The sequence below is a fragment of the Homo sapiens genome, chromosome 2 (assembly GCF_000001405.40).
Source record: "Homo sapiens chromosome 2, GRCh38.p14 Primary Assembly".
In the NCBI taxonomy this organism is placed as follows: domain Eukaryota; kingdom Metazoa; phylum Chordata; class Mammalia; order Primates; family Hominidae; genus Homo; species Homo sapiens.
Window position 1 is genome coordinate 236012508 of NC_000002.12, and position 23050 is coordinate 236035557.

The following is a 23050-nucleotide window of genomic DNA, read 5'->3' on the forward strand; positions in this document are numbered from 1 at the left end:
TAAAGCAAACATTTGAGACCCGGGACAGATTTGGTTTCCTTCGTTCCTCATGCATGGTATTTGTACCGGTGGGTACCTGAAGATCCTTTTCCCAGGTTTGGAGTTACCTGAGACAGATACTTAGGTAGGACCTTATAGATAGTGAAGAAACCTGAAGGTATAGACATAAAGAAGTCTTCACTTGTGAAAAATTAAATGTAGACCCGTATCCTTTAACACCGCAGATGCCTGCTAGTTTAGAGGTTGTTTCTTACTAAATTATTATTATTATTATTATTATTATTCTCTTGAGATGGAATCTCTCACTGTCGCCCAGGCTGGAGTGCAGTGGTACGATCTCAGCTCACTGCAACCTCCGCCTCCAGAGTAGCTGGGATTATAGGCGTGCCCCACCATGCACAGCTAATTTTTGTATTTTTAGTAGAGACGGTGTTTTGCCATGTTGGCCAGGCTGGTTTCGAACTTCTGTCCTCAAGTGATCCGCCCACCTCAGCCTCCCAAAGTGCTGGGATTACAGACGTGAGGACCTGGCCTATTTGTTGATTTTCACACTGCAAAGGAATTGTTAGATGTGTTTAGTTATAACAAGTTAATATCACTTTAAATCAAGAAGCAACTAAATCACAGCTAGTTTTTACTTGTGAATAATGTAAAATTTGCATCCTAAATATACAGTGCTTTATCGCAGAATTGTATTTGCTTCCTTAAAGGCTCAGGTTTCTCGCGTATGTTTTGTGTTGTCTCTACAAAGAAATCCAGTGTAGTTAGAAGCACTTGAGATTCATTTCTGCAACATAACTCATCCCAGGCGCCTAGTCATCACCCTGGGTCATTTTCTGGCCACCAGAACTTGGTGCACACGCCGAACCTACAACCACAGCCTCAGCTGTAGTGTTCGAAATGGAGAATTTTGGCTCAAACACTACAGCAGGCAAGAAGAGTTAACCTGTCGTAAGTCAGGAACACGTTGGGGTTGATTAGGGAGCTGACCGTTGGCCAGCTCATGCTTTGGGAACCAGAGGGCCAGCCTGGCTGCCTGCTTTGCGGGCTTAAGACCTGCCTCTGGAAGGGTAAGGGCCTGCCCGTCCAGATAAGTGCTGCTCACCTGCATTAAACAAACGGCCACACAGAGCCCAGTGGGAGCCTGCACTGGTTTCTCTTCCTGCCTGTGGCAGTTGAGAGAGACAGACGGTCCTGTGAGACCCCTTCTTCAGAAGGTGAATGACAGTGACCGCCACTAAACATTCCATTCCACCTGCCTGCACGGCAGTCCAAGCCCTCTAGCCCTGTGACCTGGGGCTGTGCCTTTGCTTGCATTTGCCTGAAGAGTTGAGCCACCCTGTTTAACTCTTGGGTTTTTATAAAATGTCTCCTGAAGGGCGGAGAGAATGCCTCAAGTCGATGTCTTCCCTGCCACAGATGTCAGCATTTCTGAGTTGATAGTTGGGAGGGTAAGGGCCTGGTGGGGTGGAGAATGTGTCTCTGGAGGGTGGGGGCCCCATCTCAGTGAGCCAGCCAGGCACTGCACACAGCCTGAGTGGTGGGCCTGCTGCGCCCTTGTTAAATTGGTTCTCTTCCGAACCCAGCGTCCCACTGTCGGTGACTTGGCGTTTTGTCCTTTCTCCTGAGAACCTGAGGTGGCATTTGCTCTTCTGGTTCCTAGGAGCTCCATTTAGAGCCGTAACTCCCCCGAGTGTCAAAGAGAATAGACTCCTCCCTCCAGGACAGCAGAATGGCACTAGGGGGTTTTGCTGCTGTAGGTATTGCCTGAATCAAAATCTGTCTCGGGAAGACAACTTCACTTTTAACAGCTCTTGGTTTTAAAACCTACCTTCTCCAACACATAGGCATGAACTGCTCATAACCAGGGTCTCTTGATTTGACATGCTCCTAATATTTGGCCGAATCAAAGGGCTTGTGGCGACTGGCATCATAGCTCCTTCAAAGGGTGTCATCATTTCCCAAGGCAGAGGCCAGTTTTTGTGCTGTTTTGAGTAGCCACGTGTGAAACCCAGCAGGGCGAAGCAGACTTCTGCGCGTGGGTAGTTCTTTGACGTTAGATGCAATCCTGATGACCCTGCTCCACCTCTGCCCTTCCTGAGTTCCTCTGTTCACCGCAGGGGAGTTGGAGGGCTCAGCCCAGGGAGCTCCATGGCACCCACCCGCTTCGCGCAGACAGCTCGGAGGCAACGTCACGTGCTACTTTGACCTTTTTTTTTCTCCCCTTTTCATTTGTTTTCTTTTCCTTTTTGTTTTCTCTCTTTTTCCCCTCTCCCCTTTCTGCTCTCGGGATGCAGCCAAACGCAAAGCATGGAAACTAAACCGTGTTGGTAGCCTGCGAAATATATACAGCAGCAGCACCAACACTGAAGGTAACGCCTCCGCACCTCCACCCGCCCACACCTCCACCTGCCTCTTCCCCTCTCATCCCCTGCCCGCCCCTTCCTTTCCAACACAGGCATGGAAATGCAATTTGCCCAAAGCCGCATGCTCCCTTATTGTGTTTGCAGAGTCATTCCTGTGGTCTTTTCATCTTTTTGTTTGTGTGTTTTATTTTACCATTCGTGTTCCTTTCAGCTTACTTAAATTTTGACCTTTCCCTTCAGTCGTAGAGTAGTGATGTTTAAATTACTTCAGAAACCTATTTTCTCCTCTTTTTTCTTTTCCTTTATACATGTGGGCACTCAGTGTAATATTTCCCAAGTTATTACAGTTTTTAAAAGTGTTAGTATCAGGTGTAATGATCTGTAGCCAAATACAATAGTGTGCCGTGACATTTAAGTAACAGTCTTAATTTGTTTTGTGGAAGCATTCTCCATAATGCTCTCTGCAGCTCTAATCCACAGGCAGGCAGGCCCGGGCCATTTGCATGGGCTGCTATTTGCTTGTAAAGTCAGTATTTTGTTGTGTTTCTAAAGGTCGTCTGGTGCCAAAGTTCACAAATTGACTTGCGTTGCTTTTTTCACCGAAGACAGCCGTCATTGCTTTTGTATAATAGCAGATTGAATTTTTCCCCCACCTTCATTTGAACAACATAATTATAAATTGCCTTTTTTTTTATGATTACAAATGTCAAGGGTCGGAATTACTTTGATGCCAGGCAAGGGAAAACCACCACCATCAGCCCAAGCGCACATAAGGGAGGCGGGGGCATCGGGCGTGTGATGCAAAGCAGGTCACAATCCAGCGATCTTGGTATAATAGGGGGACATTTTTTTTCACTTAAGTGCAAGCCAAATGGGTCAAGTAATCGCAAGCTCGTGCCCTAACACTAATTGACTTATTTGGGGATTATTATAACTGTAATATTTTTCTTAATGTCACTGTTTTCTGGGCTGTTGATTTTAGCGATTGCCAAGCAATGGCATTAAATCTCTTGTAAATTTTAAATTGCACGTTATTTCTGTAAACAAGTCCCTCTCTTCACATCCTGGTCATTAACCTTTGCCGATTTATATCACCATCCTCTTTTTTTCTTTCTTTCACAATTACTCCTGTCTTGCCGCTGAACGCCCTGCTCTCAGCCAGGAAAAAAAAGAAAAAGAAATCTGGAAAACAAATCTACATTTTCACTATGGCTTGTTAAAGAGCCATTTTTTAATCATAATTTTTTTTTTCATTTCTCAAGGGAAAATTGTTGTCTGTTAAGATACCAGTGGAGCTTGGCCTCATTGGTATCTTCTTTCAAAGCACTCAAGAAATAACCAAATGAAAGAGGGAAAAGAATAGAAGTTAAGAAACGGTCATTCATTATCATTTTTGTTGCATTTTAAAGGGTATTAGTATACTCTTTTCACCGTTTTTTAAATGTTTTTCAACTTAGCGTGCATATCATTTCTCCTCCCTGTGTCCTTATCAAATATGTTGGGTTTGCTTTTTTTTTTTTTTTTTTTGTATGCATGTGGGTTTGTCGCAACAAATTTGTTTATTGACTTCCAGCCTTTAAAAAAAAATTGTGAGGTCTGGTTTCAAATGCAGTGTATAGAAAATTGGGGGACAGCAAGGGGACATACCTCCTTAGCCTTGAGGGCAAATGGTTCCCTGAGACTTGCTGATGGGCCTTCCTGGAGACACTGGTGGGTGACACGGGACCCAGTAGAACCAGGAGTGAGGATTTGCAGCAGTGCGAACTTCTCAGCCTTAGCTTCTCAGGTAATACACAGCATCTGCTCTGCCCAGCACCTCGGAGGGGTGGAGAGCGTGAATTCCTCTCTGAAATCTGTCAGTACTGGATAGCACTGCAAACATGGGGTCCCTCTGTCAGTAGCTATGAAAGGCATTCCTGGGGATACTAAATAGTGACTGCATATCCAATTGTCCCTCACAATTTCTTTCATTTTTCTCAGTTATAGTAAGTTTCTGTTTGGTGTTCAAGGTCATGTATGAATTTTCAATTAAAAGACAGCATTCTTCATTTACTTTGGGTTTATTTTAAGATTAACATGTGTACACATACAATCTCATTTCATACGGTTTTTAATAATGTATTACAGAATTCAGGCCAGACGCAGTGGCTCATACCTGTAATCCCAGCACTTTGAGAGGCTGAGACGGGTGGGTCACCTGAGGTCAGGAGTTTGAGACCAGCCTGGCCAACACGGTGAAACCCCATCTCTACTAAAAATAAAAAAAAAAATTACCCGAGCATAGTGGCGAGCACCTGTAATCCCAGCTACTCAGGAGGCTGAGGCAGGAGAATCGCTTGAACCCAGGAGGCGGAGGTTGCAGTGAGCCAAGATCACTCCACTGCACTGCAGCCTGGACGACAGAGCGAGACTCCATCTCAAAAAAAAAAAAAAAATACATTACAGAATTTATAAAATTATATAAAATAATTGTCAAATTCCTTTCTGATTTACAGCCTTTTGATGTATGAAGTTATCACATATTCACTGTCTATAAAGTGACCCTTCATGAAAATTTGTATCCTGAACATTTTAACTTTTGTTTTAACCTCACGTCGTGTTACACTAAATATATCCATCCCCAAGTGGAGTATCTTTTAAAGTGGTCCACTTGAGTGATTTACTCAAAGGCACCCAAAAAACACCACCCAAGTAAGGTGGACACTGGAGTTTCCTGTGTCTAGAGGGAGAACTTGAGCTTCAGGAATAAGAGGAGACCACCCACTAGGAGCTGGGAGTGGACTCAGCTGTTCTGGGACTTTCCTCAGGATCCTGGTTTAGGAGAGACAGACAGAGCCAAGGTTTGAGTCTAAGGATCTCTCTGAAGCCCTTTTTCTTTTATGTCCTCTCTCTTCCGGCCTCTGGACCACATTATCTCATTTAATCTTCACACTCCCCCTGCCAGGTAGGTATCATGTTATGGATGGAAAATTGGGATTCTGATAACTCAAGTGATTTTCTGCAGAACAAGCTAGCATGTTCCAGAGGCAGGACGTGTGCCCAGATCTCTTGACTGTGGGACCTGCTCACAGATCCACGTGGAAGGAGTTTGTGGATGGAAGTCAGGAGTGGATAAAAACAAACAAAACTTACAAGGGAAACGCACAGACAAGATTAAAAAACAAAAATATTTTATCTTTTGTCTGTCCATTGTGGCTAACACTGAAACTGAGATAGAAACTTTGGATATATATGATTGCACTAATGTACAAACTTTTGTTGCTTTTTAACAATTAACTTTCTCAAGATGGGTGAAATTGAGTTTTCTTCAGCCAGAATGCAGCTGTAACTTTAACATCTCAGGAACCTGTGAATGGAAGGGTGTCTTAATGGTATGATCCTCCAATTAACAGCTGTCTCCCAACCCAAGGGAGAATAAGATCTAAATACCAGATGACTGAGGCTAGACTCACCAATGTTCAACTGAAAGTAAATGTATTGGAGAAAGAACAAAGAGGACCAAGTGGCAGAAGAGTGGACGTTGTGCAGGAGGAAACTCGGGAGGGAGGCCTCTTCGCTGCACCGCAGGGCAGAATTGCACAACACCTGGACCCATCTCCAGGCCTCACCTGCCCCATGCAGCTAAACAGATGACATTATCATCCGCTGTGAGTTGGGTGAACACATGGGCTCTTTCAAGAGCATTTAAGCTCTCTGTTTTTGCAGAAGAAAAGTACTTCCAGTACCTAAATAGATAAAGGAGAGAGGTGTTAGGAAACAAGGGGGCATTTCTTGGGATGCCAAGCCCATTCCCTGGCAGCAGAATGAATACTTAAGATAGGCCTCTTCAAATAGGTGATGACACTTGCATCCAGGTGTTAGCCAGATTCAGTACTGGCCTAAAGTCCCAATTCGAGCCCGTCTATGAGGGCCCGTTTCTGTGGATTTAGAGCTCGCCCCAGCAACAGGCCTGGGAAACCTCTGCTTTGGGTACTTCCGTTCACCACAGTGGGCCAGATCGCTGGAACCCAGTCTCCCCGACACTGCGATTCCAAGCATAGGCATTGCCATGGGGAAACAGCAAACCTCCTCTTGGAAATTTCATCACAGATACAGCTTCGCGCCTCAGGCCTGCAGTCAGACCCGCACCTGCCTTCTCCACTGAACAGCCCAGATGGTCACTGTTCCTCTGAGCAGATGTGAGCAGGCCTAACTTGTTGGCCATTCCCTCCAACACTCGTTTTCTTGGTCACAGTTCTGAGACTTCCAACTCATTCACAGTTAAACAAATTACAGGCCCACATCTGAGAATGATGGTCTTGCTGAGTGTGAGGTAGGCCTGCCTCCTTGTTCCCGACTCTCAGGTCCCTGCTGGGATGCGCCATTGCCTGCGCTGGGTGCTGGGGCAATGGAGAGGGTAAGGGTGCACCCGCCCACTGCCCTCAGGGAGCTTACTGTCAGTCTAGGAGGCTGCACAAAGGATCTCATGCAGAAGGAGGGAAGAGGCCCTGGATGCTCTGGGGGCTTTGTGGAGAGCAGAACTACATTTGATTTAGGGGTCAGGACAGGTATCATGGCCTGCGGGATGTGACAGGAACCACAGTGACCGCATCCTCAGTGCTGAGAAATTTCCAACATCCTGTCGTGCACCCCTAGCAGAGGGAGATCTTTTCCTCCTTGTTTTATAAAAGAAGAAACCGAGCCTGGGAGAAGGGCAGGCATCAGCCCCAGGAGCTCTCAGGAAGACGGGGCTGGAATTCCAGGTGGAGGCAGCAGCCTGCACCTGGACGGGGCTTAGTACAGAGCCTGCAGCGCCCTTAGGCTTGAGTGTGAGGTGTGTGCCGAGGATTCTTTTGGGACCAGTACCAGTGGAGGGGACTAGATGATCCACAGATCTGCAGACAGCTGTCATCATCATCTCCAGCAGAGGAAGAAGGCAGCCCTGCCTGACAATCTGTGACCCATTGTGTTGTGTGTTTCCTGAAGGACTCACTGCAGTGTCTGATCAAGGCCCCCGCCAAATGCCCCGGCAGTCTCCCCAGTGCCCCGTGTGGGTCCCCACTGTGAGAGGCTGCCTTCCAGAACCTGCTCTCTGCAGTGAGCATTCTCCAGGCTCAGATGGGTTCTCTTTCACACTGAATCACTGCTCTTGTTTGTATGAGGCAGGCATGGGCGCCAGACTCAAGCCCAGATCTTAACTCAGGTGGTCTTGGTTCAGTCCCACATCCCCACTTCATAGCTCTAACCTTGGGTTCTTGATGTGTCTTCTCTGTACCTCAGTTTCCCCACCTATAAACTGGGGTGATGACACCCACTGCACAGGGTTGTGGGGAGGAGTCAGCAAGCTAACATACCTAGAGATGTGGAACATGGCCCCTGCATTGCTCCTTGCCTAGGACCAGTAAGCCCCAGTACTCAAGCACCCAGATTCTCTCTGTTTTCAAAGAAAATTGCAGTGTTTGAACGTTGTTTATGTAGCCAGGAACAGAGATTTGAAAAGACGTGTTGCCCATGAAGCATAGGGGGGAATTTAGAAATGAAACTTAACCTGTTATCTAGACTTTTAAACCTACCCTCCTGCTTCCATTTGCTGTCATCTGAGAAGAATCGTCAGTTGTAGAAATTTGGCTAAAAGCGTGAGCTGTGGAGTCACACACGCCTGGGTCTCATCCCCTCTCTGCCACTTCCCAGCTGTGTGGCTTGGGATGCTTTCCTGGGTCTGTCCTTCCTCTCTGTTCTTTTCTTCCTCGCATGCAGACAATAAAACCTACCTTGAAGGGTAATTGAAGAAGAAATGAAGTGAAGCCTGTGAAGTGCTTCCCACAGAGCTGGGCACATAGGGAAGCTGGCCGCCGTGGCTGCTATTAAATTGCTATACAGACTTATTTAATAGAAAAATGACCCAAAGACTCCATGGAGAATATCTGTGGACTATTCAGTAGGCCTTTTTAATGTATCGGTACAGAGCAGAGCTGGCCAAAGCCACCCCTCCTCAGTGATGAGCAGCACCAACTAAGAACTAATGCAGGTAGGCCGGGCACAGTGGCTCACACCTATAATCCCAGCACTTTGGGAGGTCAAGGTGGGTGGATCACTTGAGGTCAGACATTCGAGACCAGCCTGGTCAACGTGGTGAAACCCCATCTCTACTAAAAATACAAAAATTAGCTGGGCATGGTGGTGCGTGCCTGTAATCCCAGCTACTTCAGAGGCTGACACACAAGAATCTCTTGAACCAGGGAGGCAGAGGTTGCAGTGAGCCAAGATCGTGCCACTACACTCCAACCTGGGCGACAGAGCAAGATTCTGTCTCAAAAAAAAAAAAAAAAAAACTAATACAGATAACTTCAGATTTAGGAAACCCTTGCATGGGGAATAACTAGAATTGACGTTTTGGGAAGAGAAGATTGCTCATTTTTCTAGCCCCCTCCTTTTGAAAGGATGACAGTCTTGGGTATCAATCACCTCAGCGCTGAGCAGCACCTAGGAGAGGAAGCCCTCACCGTGGACAGTGGAGGGTGCCGCTGAAGATTCCTGGTAAGCCCGGGTCTCCTGATGGCCATGCTGGACTCTTGCAGAGGAACCCGCCCTAGGCCTGCCCAACATGGCCGTGCTCACTTATTCCTATAATTAGGAGTCCGAGGGGACCTCTGCAAAGTGGGGAGTGTGTCAGGATGAGTAACAAACAGTTACCGCTTAGTAACAAGATAAATCACCGCACGTGCCTATCGTTGCTTTGTCTTTCTAAACTGAATGTTTGGGCCTGGAGCTTTCACAGGGTATCTGGGACAGAGAAAGTACAAGGGAGATAGCAACACTCACCCCTGCTGTATCGCAAGATGTTTTCAATTTGCGGTCAGATAACTATTTTTTTTTCCCCAAGAGCTTTGTTTTGGAGTCTTTTCTTAATTTAAGACAGGCACGGGCCAGACATGGTGACTCACACCTCTAATCCCATCACTTTGGGAGGCTGAGGTGGGCAGGTTGCGTGAGTTAAGGAGTTCGAGACCAGCCTGGGCAATATGGTGAAACCCCTTCTCTACAAAAAATACAAAAATTAGCCAGGTGTGGTGGCGCATGCCTGTAGTCCCAGCTACTCGGGAGGCTGAGGTGGGAGAAGCGCTTGAGCCCAGGAGGTGGAGGTTGCAGTGAGCCGAGATGAAGCCACTGCACTCCAGTCTGGGCGACAGAGACCCTGTCTCAAAAAAAAAAAAAAAAAAAAAAAAGGCACATATGGCACCCTACAGCTCTGGAAGCCAAAGCTTTCAAATGGAGTTTCTTTACACGTGGTCCTTGAACTGCTATCCCAGCTCTTTATAATGTGTTTGAAAAATAAAAATGTCCTTTGTATGTCATGAGAACCTTCCCGTGGTAATATTTAGTAGTTAAACATTCCTAAGCTCGTAATTGACCTGTGGGGATTTGCTTCTTCACAGAATTAATCACACTGTTCTAAATTAAGCCACAGGACAACACCTCTGTTGGACTCTCTTGGCTAGACAAAGATGTTGACCAAATTCAGAGTTTCCAAAAATAATTAGCTGAGAACCGTGAACTGCGTGTGTTTATAATGATCTTTTGTTTTTGTTTAAAATTAATAACTTCTCAAGTATACTAAGTATATCCATAGGTTTCTTGGTTCTGTACAACCCTGGTCCATATTCTCCAGGCTTGCCTACAGTCTTTGTCTTTTATTTTTGGACAGAGAGTCTCACTCTGTTGCCCAGGCTGGAGTGCAGTGGCACAGTCTCCGCTCACTGCAGCCTCCACCTCCAGGGTTCAAGTGATTTTCATGCCTCGGCCTCCTGAGTAGCTGGGATTATAGGCACCCGCCACCACGCCCAACTGCTTTTTGTATTTTTGGTAGAGATGGAATTTTGCCATGTTGCGCAGGCTGCTCCCGAACTCCTCACCTCAAGGGATCCGCCCCCACCCCAGGCCTCTGAAACTGTTAGGATTACAGGCTTGAGCTACCGCACCCGGTCAGCAGGCTTTCTTTCACATCAGTCTTTTCCTACAAAAATGGGAGAAAATTTGAAAATAAAAACTGACTTTCTAATACTGTGTTTTGGCTGACATCTTAGTGTGTGAGCTTTTTGTCATAATTGGGTAAAATATCTAAGCCACACGCCTATTTAATAGATGGTTTTAAAACAGAAATATTGGAGGATTTTACAAAGTGTATGAGGAAAAATAGCATTAAAGCCCGGGTGTGTGCGTGACATTGCCACACATTGCCTCTTAGGGTCATGGTAGAGGGAGAAAGACCACAAGGTAGCGAGTATATTCCGTCTGAGTTTCCGACCCCGTTGCATTGACAGTGGCTACCTGGAGAACTGTGTGAAGAGGAATTCTGGGGCTGCACCAGCCTCTTCAGGAACAGTTAGGAATGTCTGTTTTTAAAAGAAAAGGAGAGAGAGCTTCCCTTTGTCATCCCGGGTCCAGCCTGGCACCTCCCTTGCAGATAAAGCTGAGATCAGAAAGATGAAGTGGGCTGCTCATGGGCACCAGTCCGTCGATGGCAGGATGGGAAGTAGGTTCCAGGAGAGAGAACCCCAAAGTTGGAGCTCCAGTTCAGACAGAAACTGGGAGAACCCATAGCGAAAACTCACTTGTTAATAGGGGAAAAAGAAAAAGGGCTTGGCGGAAGGTAAGCATCGGTGGTAATGTGTTCACCACGGCTTTGTGGTGTGTCCTAAAACAGAAGTCCCAACTCTTTCACCAAGGTCAGGAGTGGAGAAGATGGTTATTTTCTGCCCAGGCCTTGGCTGTTGTATTGTCCCGTCTTTTCGGTGGTGCTGTCTGGAGGCCTCTGGGCTTGGTAGATCCTGCACTCTTTGTACAGCAAACATGCCCGTCCCCCAGGCTGAGCATGTCATCTCTGCACCGTTGCGATATCCCATTTCATTTTCATCACAGGTTGCTCATTAAATGTGTCACAAAGGATGCTTAGCCTTGTGGACAGAACACTGGATGGGCCTCAGGAGCCTGGATTTCAGGCTATAGGGCACCCTGGGAGAACCTCCTCTCTCCCCAGGACCCAGATTCTCATCCGGTCATTGAAGAACTTGGAGTAAGTGACTTCTGCATCCTCCTTGAGCCCTTTTCTATTCAGAAGAGAAACATCTCGGCATTGCACCTGCACCCATCAGTAGTTTGTGGTTGGTTGTTTTTTTTTTTTGTTTTTTTTTTTTTTTGGAGACAGTCTCACTTTGTCACCCAGGCTGGAGTGCAGTGGTGTGATCTTGGCTCACTACAACCTCCGCCTCCCGGGTTCAAGCAGTTCTCCTGCCTCAGCCTCCCAAGTAGCTGGGACTACAGGCACACACCACCACGCCCAGCTAATTTTTTTAATTTATATTTTAGTAGAGATGGGGTTTCACCATGTTGCCCAGGCTGGTCTCAAACTCTTGAGCTCAGGCAATCCACCCACCTTGGCCTCCCAAAGTGTTAGGATTATAGGCATTAGCCACTGCGCCCGGCCCCATCAACAGCTTTGAGCCATTTCTCATCGTAGCTCGGGGCACAGATCCAGGTCCTCTTGGCCTTTGCAAGAGCACAGTGCAGTTGTCCTTTTCCCCAGACCCTTTCCCTGAGACCTGTGTGTGCCTCTGTGCCTCCCTCCTTCCCTCCCCTCGCACCCACTTCTCCCCCATGCATCCTTGTCAGATGCCTCCTGTTGAAAGCAACTTCCAAATGTGAAACGGTTTTCAGCTGCTTTTAGCCCTTTAACCCTTTGTCTGCTAGAATTCCGCAAAAAAATAATTGATGACGGATTGGCCCATTAACCTTTAAGAAAAAAAAAGTTTGACAGCCCGGATTCATGTAATGAGGAGGGATTCCTTGTGAAATCAGTCTGATGGCTGAGTTTCTTGCCCCTAAGGAGGCAAAATTAGCCCCATGGGGCCTTGTCTGCATAGAAACTGGACACAATTAGTGTAATATCCGGTGTTATTAATGTCGTTTGGAATAATTGGGCAGGTTGATTTCGACAGGTTCATGGTGCTAAAATACTATTATAGTGGACCTTTCCACAGCTAACTGTTAAACACAGAAAACTGTTTAAATCCCTGTGAGCCCAATCACAAAACTTTATTAAACAGCTAAGCCCTGGAATGTCACACTGGGAAACAGTACACCGTCTGTTACTTCAGGCTTTGGGGTGTGGTGGCATCTTGATTTTTCAGGAACAGGGGGATTAATTTTGCTGTCTGTGTGTGTATCTGAAACTTCAACATGCTTTTAATAGATATACCATCAGGAGCTTCTACAACCTGAAATCTGTTTTTACAGTGAATGAAATAGAAGCCACTGCAATTGTCACAAATAGGTAGTTTGTATTAGTGAAATGACACCACTAAAAGTGAAAGCTCCGAACAGGGCATCCTCACAGGCACATGCTCGTTCTGCACGTTTGAAGTGAGGGTGGCAGTGGAGAGTAATGCTCGGCTCTGTCTCTGACTGATGGGCCTCACGCTGCCAATTACTGTTTTGATCATTTTTAATCTAGTTGCTCATAAGTAAAATGTCATCACCGTGTCACTTCGTAATGTGCTGCAGCCCTTCGGGGCCATCGGTGATTTGAATAAGGCTCTATCATCTGCTAAAAATTCTTCTTTGAACCTTAGGAGGAGCATGTTCCTGTTCTCTCCACACAGAAGAAGGGAAATTGGGTCCAAAAATCTATTCACTGTTTACATAATGAGCGTAAATGGTCACTGCAATGCCACCGAAGTGTAAACACGGATTAAACACGGATTAAATCTTGAGATTTGCTAGGTGTTGACCTAATAAAGTCACCAGAGCAGCACATAGGAGATCACCACCAGGATAGATCTTCTCTACTGGATTAGTCAGAACTAGGTTTAGTAACACCAGAAATCCAGTTTTAAAAAAAGGAGACGCTGGGCGTGGTGGCTCACACCTGTAATCCCAGCTACTCAGGAGGCTGAGGCAGGAGAATCACTTGAACCCCGGAGGCAGAGGTTGCAGTGAGCTGAGATGGTGCCACTGCACTCCAGCCTGAGCGACAGAGGGAGACTCCTTCTCGGGTGGGTGGATGGATGGATGGATGGATGGATGGATGGATGGATGTCTTATGTAACGAACTGTAGGACAGGCAGGAGCTTCAGGGACCTCAGAGGCACCAGGCTCCCTGCCACCTCCCATCCCTGGCTTCACTCTGCTGGGCAGCAGCATTCATACCTGTCCACAGGGAGTGGCCTGATAACAGAAGTTTTCCTTCCCATGGAGAGGGCAGAGGCACCTGCACCTGCACCTGTGGGCCATGTCCTGACAGGTCCCAGATAAGAGGGGAAGGCACTCTATGGACACAACTCAGATGTGAAACCCTGGAAGACACTTGATCATGTGCCCCCACCAGGACTGATCAGAGTGGCCAGGGACATCACGTGCTCCAGTTGGCCAACATAGATGGGGCCATCCCTGCTCCCTGTGCTGGCCAGGGAGCCAGACACCCGGCAGGTGGCACGTGGAAGGCCCAGAGGACCACCACCTCTGTGTACCATGTCCCCCAGCATTTACCAGACTGACCTGATTGTGTGACTGGACATCAGTTAGAAAGAAGTATGACACGCCGGGCACGGTTGCTCATGCCTGTAATCCCCGCACTTTGGGAGGCTGAGGCAGGCACATCACCTGAGGCCAGAAGTTCGAGACCAGCCTGGCCAACATGGCGAAACCTCAGCTCTACTAAAAATACAAAAATTAGCTGGGCGTGGTGGCAGGCGCCTGCAATCCCAGCTACTCTGGAGGCTGAGGCAGGAGAATCACTTGAACCTGGGAGGGGGAGGTTGCAGTGAGCTGAGATCATGCCATTGCACTCCAGCCTGGGCAACAGAGCGAGACTCCATCTCAGAAAAAAATAAAAATTAAAAGAAGGACAGTAAGACAAACTGTTGAGGGATTTCTGGGGAAGCTAGTTTCAAAAGGCCCAACCATCTTGTTCTCTTGGCATGAGGAATAGGAGAAGATAACGGAAAGCCACTAGGAGACCCTTCCAGCCCCTATGCCGTCTTTGATTCCCAAGGAGAGCTCCTTTTTTTAAATGTTAATTTGTTTTTAGGAAATGGAGGAAGAGTACTGCCACTTTAAGAGAGGAAAATGATTACAAGCAAAAATGGCTGTAAAGTCCTGGCGTTGTGCCTGACAGAATTTGGAGCCCAGTGGTATTATTTTCTATGTTTATTACTCCATGCAGTAGATTTGTTATGGATAAACAGATTTCTTCCTGGAAGTTGTAACATGACTATGCAGTTGCTCTATAATCCTTGTACTTATTTTTTTTAATCTTGGGAGGCAGAGAAAAGTCATATGGCAGATATAAATTAGATCTGAAACTCTACGTGTGGGTATTCACCTATTACCCTCCCTCAAAATAAAAAATGAAGCCACCTAAAGACAGGATCCTGGGAAACACATGGGCCTAGCATAGCTGGATTCCACTCGGCAGTGTTGGTGTAGAGTGGCCTTAATTAGGCTCTGTGCTCAGATGTTAATCCTTCCTCAGGAAGCAAGGTCCAGCTGCTCGGACCCTTGTCGTAAATTTCAGGGCCTGAAAATCCAAAAGAAGACACAGGGTAGTCCTCCCGCCGGTGCCCACCTCTGCGCTGAGCATGTAGGGTTCCATCTCCCGCCTCTGCCCTGCCTCCCCCAGGGCAGACTGAGCCTCTCCCCTCCAGGTGTCCCAGATGTTTGCATCACAGTTCAGCCCTGGTCCCCATCAGCACAGCCTGCCTGGGAGAGGCCAGCCCAGGGTCAGCAGCGCCATTGCCTCTTGATTTGGGAGCTGATGCTGGACCCCGCATTGACGAGACAGAGGGGGCCATCTTGTGCTTCTCCAGGGCTAGGATGAACCATCTGGTCAAAACAGAACAGAAACCCCAAAGAGCTGTTCATCGGCGTCTCACTACATGGTGAACTGCTACTCACAGGGAAAAGCGTGGCGTTTAGACCTGCCCTGTGATCACAGGGCCTTTGTGCATGCTACATACACGTCAGAGACAGACCATACCCAAGGATCACAGAGATGGCACAGCTTCCTGCCCACCACACTATCACAGAGCTGTTGGTCCCGGGGATTGCGATTCGTGTCTTTATTTCTTCATTATTTGTATAGTCCTGTGCTTTTCCAGGTTTAGAGTTATTGCACGGGACTCCCCCTCAAGAAAAGAATATCTTAAGTGAGTCTGGGGTTGCAGTTGGTCCTTAGGATGTGAAGCTTAGCTGTGCTTTCCACGGTCAGCAGGGTCTGTCATGGGGCTGACCTTCCCAATCCATGCCTTTACCTGAAGCTGGTGCCCATCAGCCTGGGTCACAGGGTGTCTTGCATCTGTTTCCTCTTTACTCTGTTGGGCCTTGTTGGTGTTTCATGGTAATTAGCCAATTAGCCTGGGTTTCATTCTCCGGGAGAGGAGACCTGAACCTGAGCAGGCCACCCTCAGGCTCTGGTTAATCCGTCACCTCCAGGCAAAGTGTAAAGCCTTCTCTTTGCCACCTCTTCTGAGTGGCTGCGGATACCAAGTGGTCCTTTATGTTCTTACTTTTAGGGAAGTATTTAGCTCATTCACAAGTCTTTGTATCTCTACTTTGCTACCTCAGAGATAGAAATATATGTCTATTATTTGTGAAGGCATGCTTAAATACGATTTTTGTTTGCTAGTGTACATTTTGCAATTAATATTTTTGTATTCATCTTATATCTTGCCCATTTGCCAACTGCTGTTATGATTTTTAATAATTTGTAGGTGATTTGGGGTTTTCTATGAAGACAGTCATATACCATGTGAATGTCTTTATCTTCCTTTCCAATCTCTCGGTCTTTCATTCCCTTATTTTTGACTTAATACACTGGGTAGCAGGGATGGAAAAAAGCAGTTACAGTGGGTGTCCTTGTCTTGAGCATCCTGTAACTGAGTGTTCAAAGGTATGTTTCTGACATCTCACCCTTAGGATTAGTGACATTGTGGGGTTTAGGGATAGATTATCTCTGTCCAAGGTAATGGAGTCCTCTTCTATTCCTCGTTGGCTAAGGAGTTTTAATCATGCTTCTTTCTCTTATTGATTTTTTTTCTTTCTTCTGGTTGAGAAATTGGACATTCTACTTATTTTCTTGCAGAGGTTTACCACATGGACTTAATTTACTTACCAACATGTGAAGTGAGTCCTTACCTCTCCCAGTAGAGCAGTACAAGGCCCTATGACATCGTAACTCCCATGTCCTCACCGCTACTCTCACGTTCTCCAGCATTTTGACCTTTCCCATGGTAGACATTGTCATTAGCAGTCATAGTCGGTATTGTTTTTATTTAGTTTTTTTTTTTTGTTTACATATTTATCAGTTCATTTGCTCACCAACCTGTCTTTCACAAACCTGCCTTCTAGGATCTTCCTGAAATACATCCTTTTTTCTTTTTTTTTTTGAGATGAAGTCTTTCCTTGTCACCCAGGCTGGAGTGCAGTGGCGTGATCTCGGCTCACTGCAACCTCCGCCTCCCAGGTTCAAGTGATTCTCCTGCCTCAGCCTCCTGAGTAGCTGGTATTACAGGTGCGTGCCACCACACCCAGCCATTTTTTTTTTTTTTTCGGTATTTTAGTAGAGATGGGGTTTTGCCATGTTGGCCAGGCAGGTCTTGAACTCCTGACCTCAGATGATCCACCTGCCTCGGCCTCCCAAAGTGTTGGGATCACAGGTGTGAGCCACTGTGCCTGGCCCTGAAGTATATCATTTAGTAATTTCCCTAGTGGACGTCTATTGGTAATAAGCACTTTTGGGTGTTTTTGCAGAAAAATATATTTTGTTCTTTCCTTCTTTTTCTTTTTCTTTTCTCTTTCCCTTTCTTTTCTCTTCCTTTCTTTTCTTCTCTGCTCTTTTCTGTTTTTTCTTTCATAGGGTCTCACTCTTTCACCCAGGCTAGAGTACATTGGTGTGGTCACAGCTCACTGCAGCCTCCATCTCCCAGGCTCAAGTGAGCCTCCCACCTCAGCCTCCCAAGTAGCTGGGACTACAGGTGCAAGCCACCATGCCTGGCTAATTTTCAAATTTTTTGTAGAGATGAGGTCTCACTGTGTTGCCCAGACCAGTCTTGAACTCCTGGGCTCAAGTGATTCTGCCACCTCACATCCCAAAGTGCTGAGTTGGCAGACATGATCCCTTGCACCTGGCCTGTGTTTCACTCTTGTTCTTGAGAGAGAGTTTATCTGAATCTCAAGTCTACACTGTTATTTTCTCTTGAGGATATCATTCCACTATCTGGCGACTCTCACTGTTACTCTTAAGAAGTCTGTGATCGTCTTGATATTTGTTTAAGAGCAATCTGTCTCTAGAGACGGGGTCTCACCATGTTGACCAGGCTGGTCTTGAACTCCTGACACCTTAGGTGACCCACCAGCCTCAGCCTCCCAAAGTGCTGGGATTACAGGCGTGAGCCACCATGCCCAGCCTGTATCAGTAATACTTTGGATCTAAATCTGCTGTCTTGTTTGCAGTGTGTTGGGTGATCTCTGGTTTTGAGTTCAGATGTAGTTGGTCTCCGTCCATGGGAAGCTTTCCTGTAGAGAAGATACCAGAAGCCAAGGGAGCTCTGAGACCTGGGGCCTCCCGGCTCCTTTCCTTGCAGGATTGCCAGGTGCTGGACCCTGGGTTTATGTTTCCTATCTTAGGACCTTATCTGTTGTGCTACCAAAGGTGTTTGCCCCTCAGGGTAGCCTTCACTTTTGCAGGTTTTTAGCACTTTAGGCTCACAATTCTAGTTTCACCTCGTGTATTTGATTTGGGGAAGGAGAAGGAGGGTCCTCTTGAGATCATGCCTCACTGTGGACTGCTGTGTTGTGATGCAGTCAGCTTGGAGGGGAAGCCAGGCCCCAGGAACAAGGGAGAAATGCTTAAGTGTTGGAGAGGAGAGCGACAGCACAAACTTCTTACACAGTAAACTCAGCGAAGTGTTAAAGGTGGGCCAGAACCAATTTCACAGTCAGGCAAGGGCTGAAAGTAGAAGGAAGTGGAAGGGTACAGATTGGCAGATATTGCTAAGCAGGGCTGTGACTGATGAGATGAAAGTGGGAAGAGGGAGAGGGAGGAATCCAGGTGATTTTGAGATTTTATGATTAGAATAGCATTGTAATCATTAACAGAAATACAGAACCCCAAGAGGAGCATTTGAAAATGCTAGCAAATCTATGTGATGCATGTTAAATTTGATATGAGGACAAAGTTTTTGAGAAACATCCACAGGCATTTTAAAATCCAAAACTGATTAGATATATGAATTGGAGATATATGTATGAGAACTGTACATGTCTGTAGGAAGTGACTCTCTAAGCTTCGGAAGGAAAGGAACCCCTAAGAAGGAGGGAGGAGGAAGGAGGAACATTAACTAAACTTGAAGTTTGCCTTCACTAAAGGCCACATGCAGAGGAACCAGGGAGGAGAAAGAGAAGCAGTGATCAGAAAGCTCGAAAGAGAACTATAGTTGCACAGTGAGAAGATGGCAGGCACGCCACGGGCACCCCTCCTTGCCCTGGGGTAGACATTGCTAGCTGATCGCAGATCCTTCTCCAGGAGCCTGGAGCCAGCCTTGGAGATCTCAACACAGGATTCTCTGCAGCTGCTCAAAGCTGCCTTCATTGAGAACACAAATGCAAGATAGTTCTCAGCTATCTTGCATCACTCCCATAGGATCTCAGAGTTGCAAGGGCCCTCCCAATCATGTGTGAGACGCTGAATTCCCACCAGTCTCCTCTGAAAGGGCCACATTCAAGGGCCTGAAACCCCCAGGGAGCAGAACCCACAAGCCCCATCTCTGGATAGTTGTGAGGGGGACAGAATCTTCCACTTGCAGGGTCTCCATCATTTTTTTCTGTCCTGGGTTGACTCCAGGGCACCCAGAACAGGTGTCATCCCTCTTCCATCAGACAGAAGTTCCCTGTGCTCAGAGTCCCCAGTGAGCAGTCCCTGGCATTGGGCTCTCTCTGTGGTGCCTGCTGGCCACCACCCTGAGTGATAGAGACAGGACCACCTCCCCACCATTGTGGGTGACACACTCACAGCCTTCACTTTCACTGGGAGCCTCGTTCTGGGCCTGCCGTTCACTGCAGTCCTTCAGCCTTTTCATATTTGTAGTTGGGAAGCAAAATCTTCTCCCAAACCTCACCTGCTGTTGGGGTCCAAGAGAAGGAATTCTAGTCATGCATTTGACCATTTGAGTTGTCAGTTCAGCTAAGAGATCCTCCTCTTTTTAGACCTTGGGGATGGGGATAAAACCCTAGTTTATCTGCTATCCCCCAAAACTCTTTGCTTTCACAATTTGGTAAGCAGACTTTATATGTCTTTATCCAAGTCATTGATAAAACATTGAATATTGAATGAGGCAAGACAGAGGTAATAGTTCCATGGTTGACCACTGCAGACCTTCTGCTAGTTTATGCTGCTTAGTACCCCTTAGCTGTGAATCCATATAACTCTATTCACATCTCTTTCATTCACCCTGATAAAAGCCTTGCTCACATCTGGGTGAGTCTTCAGGGTGATCAAGCATCTCAGAAGACTAAGGGGGAAAATATTGCAAGATGGTGGTGCCCATCAGCAACGTCAGGTGCTCCAGAAAGAGGGGGGTCAGTGAGAAAGAAGACTAAGCACAGCCCATGGCCCCTGGCTGTTCCTTGATCTGTAATCTTACAGAGTGAGGTTTCAATCAGGTGGATGATGGGGAAGCATTATTAGAAAAGAGAGGGTGGTAAAGAGCTGGATGCACGCGTGCACGTGTCTGCTTTGCAGATTGTGTGAGTGAAGGATGAAGAAAAGAGGTGATGATCTCTCTCAAGGATGGAGTGAGATCAGGAAGTGAGTGCAGGAGGTCTGTAGAAGGGGGACATGAAGTTTGCAAGAGAGTGAGGAAACCATGCCAAATCCAGGTCCGCAAGAAGGTATGAGGGGACCAGGTAAAGGATGCAGAGAGACGGGAGGAAAGGACCAGGAGCTGAAAGGAGAGACAGAAATGTTGAGTGACATAGAAGATACTAGACAAGGGAACTTTCTTCTGTCCAGTATACGGAGAAGACAGGTGGTGGGATAGATTTTTAAAGTGAGTGATCGGCCAGGTGCAGTGACTTATGCCTGTAATCCCAGCATTTGGGGAGGCCAACGTGGGCGGATCACCTGAGGTCAGGAGTTCAAGACCAGCCTGGCCAACATGGTGAAACCCTGTCTCCACTAAAAATACAAAATTAGCCGGATATGGTGGCACATACCTGTAATCCCATCTTCTCGGGAGGCTGAGGCAGGAGAATCGCTTGAACTTGGGAGGCGGAGGTTGCAGTGAGCTGAGATCATGCCATTGCACTCCAGCCTGGACGACAGGAGCGAAACTCTGTCTCAAAAAATAAATAAATAGAGTGAGTGATGAAGCCATAGAACAGCCACTGTAGGGAGCACATTTAGAAATTAGCTCGAAATGGGTTCTGATGTTCCTGTGAACACTTACATGTATTTGTTCCCCTAAGTAGAGTTTGCATGCATAGGTAAAATTTGTTTACATAATTAATCGGGCAGAGCCAAACTGCGCTTTAGCAATTTAATTTGCAAGTTTTGTCTTTGCATGAGATACTGAGAGTATTACAGTGCAAGATACCAGATAGCAGCTACTGCGTTGGGATGAGGCAAAAAATAGAGACGTTCCCTTGGAGCTTCATTCAGATTTCCATTGTTTTTATCACTTTGTGTTCAGTCATCTGCCTGAGTGTGTGCCCGTCCTCACCACGTAGACACGTTTAGAGGGCACAGGCTTCTCCTGCATGCTGGAATCCCTTCCACCCAGCCCAGTGCCTAGCACGTTGGGGAGGGCAGCTGAGGACCACAGTGACCGAGCCCTGCACCCATACAGTGTAATACAAGCTCAGCTCTTAGCCTTAGTTCCAGTGACTGTAGCTCATGACTGGCTAGAGCCAGACATTTGAGCAGGAAAGCTTTACAGGGGACCAGTTGTGCAGAAATTTAACCGGGAAGCTAATGGTTGTAATTTTTTTCACTAGAAGATCCAATAAATGCTGATCAGAGGGAGCTTTGATACATGCATTTGAATTTCACAGATTAAACAAAGTGTGAGCCTGTCGAGTTGATCTCATAATGAAAAATTGTCACATCCCACCTATGAATTACCAAGTTTTCCTTATGATCTAACTGTGAGTTATGTAGTTTTTTCATACCTTACCTATCTGTTCACTAGGAGAGTTTTGCATAAAATACATGAATTGGGGCACTATCCTATGAGAATCTGTATGGAAAAGGTTGTAAATCATAGTACTAGGACTTAAAAGCCCATGGATCAAGAAGCTGGACCAAGACCCACAGATGCAATGGCTCAGCCAGTACTTGCACGATATCATTGTAAGTCAGCCATGGTGAAACCTATGTGAAAGTTACAGTTACAATGATTTTTTTTTTTTTTAATGAAATCTCCAAGTCCCTGAGTGTTTAAGGTCGTTGTTGAAGGCATGACCTGCAGACACCCTGACCCCCACCTTCCTCCCCCACCCCTCTTTCCACAGCAGGTGGAGTGTTTCATTCTGCATAAATACACAGGTGGCGGGGGTGGGGTGGTCATTTGTTCTCCAAATTCAAGAGCCCAGTAGATTGGGATAAAATTCCTGAGCAACCAGACCCTCCCATCCTGACCTCTTGTCACCAGCTCTCCAGAAATCGGGAACCAGGGTGACTGAGAGCACAAAGGACACCCCCATACCGTGTGGGCCAGCTGAGGGCTTCCTCCAAAGACTCTTCTCTCCCCTCCCACTCCAGCCCGTATCGGTCCCTTTCAAGGACAGGGTGGGTCTCAGTGCCGACACCCCAAGCGGGGCTAACCAGCCAGGGCCTCAGGCCCGACCTCCACTCAGCACGTGCATCACAGCACTTTCCTGCAGCCCCCAGAATATGCCCAGGGCACAGTGGCTGTCAGCACCTAGGGAGTCACAGACCACTGAGGGGCTGGTGGAGGCCATGGGCCCTCTCTGGCTGGGTGCTGTCCCCACACCCCTGGGAGTGGGGCTTGGGAGCATCACTGGGCTGCTCAGGTGGAAGGGATCTCTCAGCCACAAAGAGGGCTGCATATCCACCCAGCCAGAAAGGAGTGGGGAAAGGGTGAGTGGGGTGGCACGTCCTCACGTCCCAGGCTGCAGGCGCATTGTGAGGAAGGGCCTGGGAGAGCCAGTCTAGGTGAGGTCAGTAAGCCGTGCTTGGAAGCTGGGCTAGAGGGACCAAGAGTCTGGAAGATCAGAGGTCCGTGCAGTAGACATGAGCCAGCCCAATGGCCACGGGCTGGTGACAGAGATAAGTAAAGTGGTTGGCAGGCAGGTAGGTGAAAGTCAGTACTAATAATAGTTGCTCGCCAGGGGATTATAATGCAGCTAGTTCACAGGCCAGGGCCCGGAAACATTGAGTCAAATGAGATGTTGTGTCTGAAAACCTAGTTGAAGATTTCTTAATGAGGGTCTGGTGCAGTGGCTCACACTTGTCACTCAGCACTTTGGGAGGCCAAGGAGTGAGGATCACTTGAGATCAGGAGTTTGAGACCAGCCTAGGGAGACACCATCTCTACAAAAAATGTCTAACAATTGGCCAGGTGTGATGGTACACACCTGTAGTCCGAGCTACTCAGGAGGCGAAGGCAGGCTCGCTTGAGCCTGGGAGGTGG

The 23050-nt window shown here is 47.2% G+C and overlaps 1 protein-coding gene across 4 annotated transcripts in view, besides 4 other annotated features; it reads left to right on the forward strand.

Annotated features, from left to right (window-relative positions):
• AGAP1 (ArfGAP with GTPase domain, ankyrin repeat and PH domain 1) overlaps window positions 1-23050 on the forward strand; it is a 637751-nt gene that overhangs the window by 518465 nt on the left and 96236 nt on the right. The window lies entirely within an intron of this gene.
• Window positions 768-1731: an enhancer, noted in NCBI's record as "H3K4me1 hESC enhancer chr2:236921919-236922882 (GRCh37/hg19 assembly coordinates)". NCBI's record gives its function as "activates a minimal SCP1, AML or CMV promoter by ChIP-STARR-seq in primed H9 embryonic stem cells {active_cell/tissue: H9 hESC(primed)}" and the evidence as "EXISTENCE:reporter gene assay evidence [ECO:0000049][PMID:30033119]".
• Window positions 13473-13973: an enhancer, noted in NCBI's record as "H3K4me1 hESC enhancer chr2:236934624-236935124 (GRCh37/hg19 assembly coordinates)". NCBI's record gives its function as "activates a minimal SCP1, AML or CMV promoter by ChIP-STARR-seq in naive H9 embryonic stem cells {active_cell/tissue: H9 hESC(naive)}" and the evidence as "EXISTENCE:reporter gene assay evidence [ECO:0000049][PMID:30033119]".
• Window positions 15034-15533: an enhancer, noted in NCBI's record as "H3K4me1 hESC enhancer chr2:236936185-236936684 (GRCh37/hg19 assembly coordinates)". NCBI's record gives its function as "activates a minimal SCP1, AML or CMV promoter by ChIP-STARR-seq in naive H9 embryonic stem cells {active_cell/tissue: H9 hESC(naive)}" and the evidence as "EXISTENCE:reporter gene assay evidence [ECO:0000049][PMID:30033119]".
• Window positions 22294-22863: an enhancer, noted in NCBI's record as "H3K4me1 hESC enhancer chr2:236943445-236944014 (GRCh37/hg19 assembly coordinates)". NCBI's record gives its function as "activates a minimal SCP1, AML or CMV promoter by ChIP-STARR-seq in naive H9 embryonic stem cells {active_cell/tissue: H9 hESC(naive)}" and the evidence as "EXISTENCE:reporter gene assay evidence [ECO:0000049][PMID:30033119]".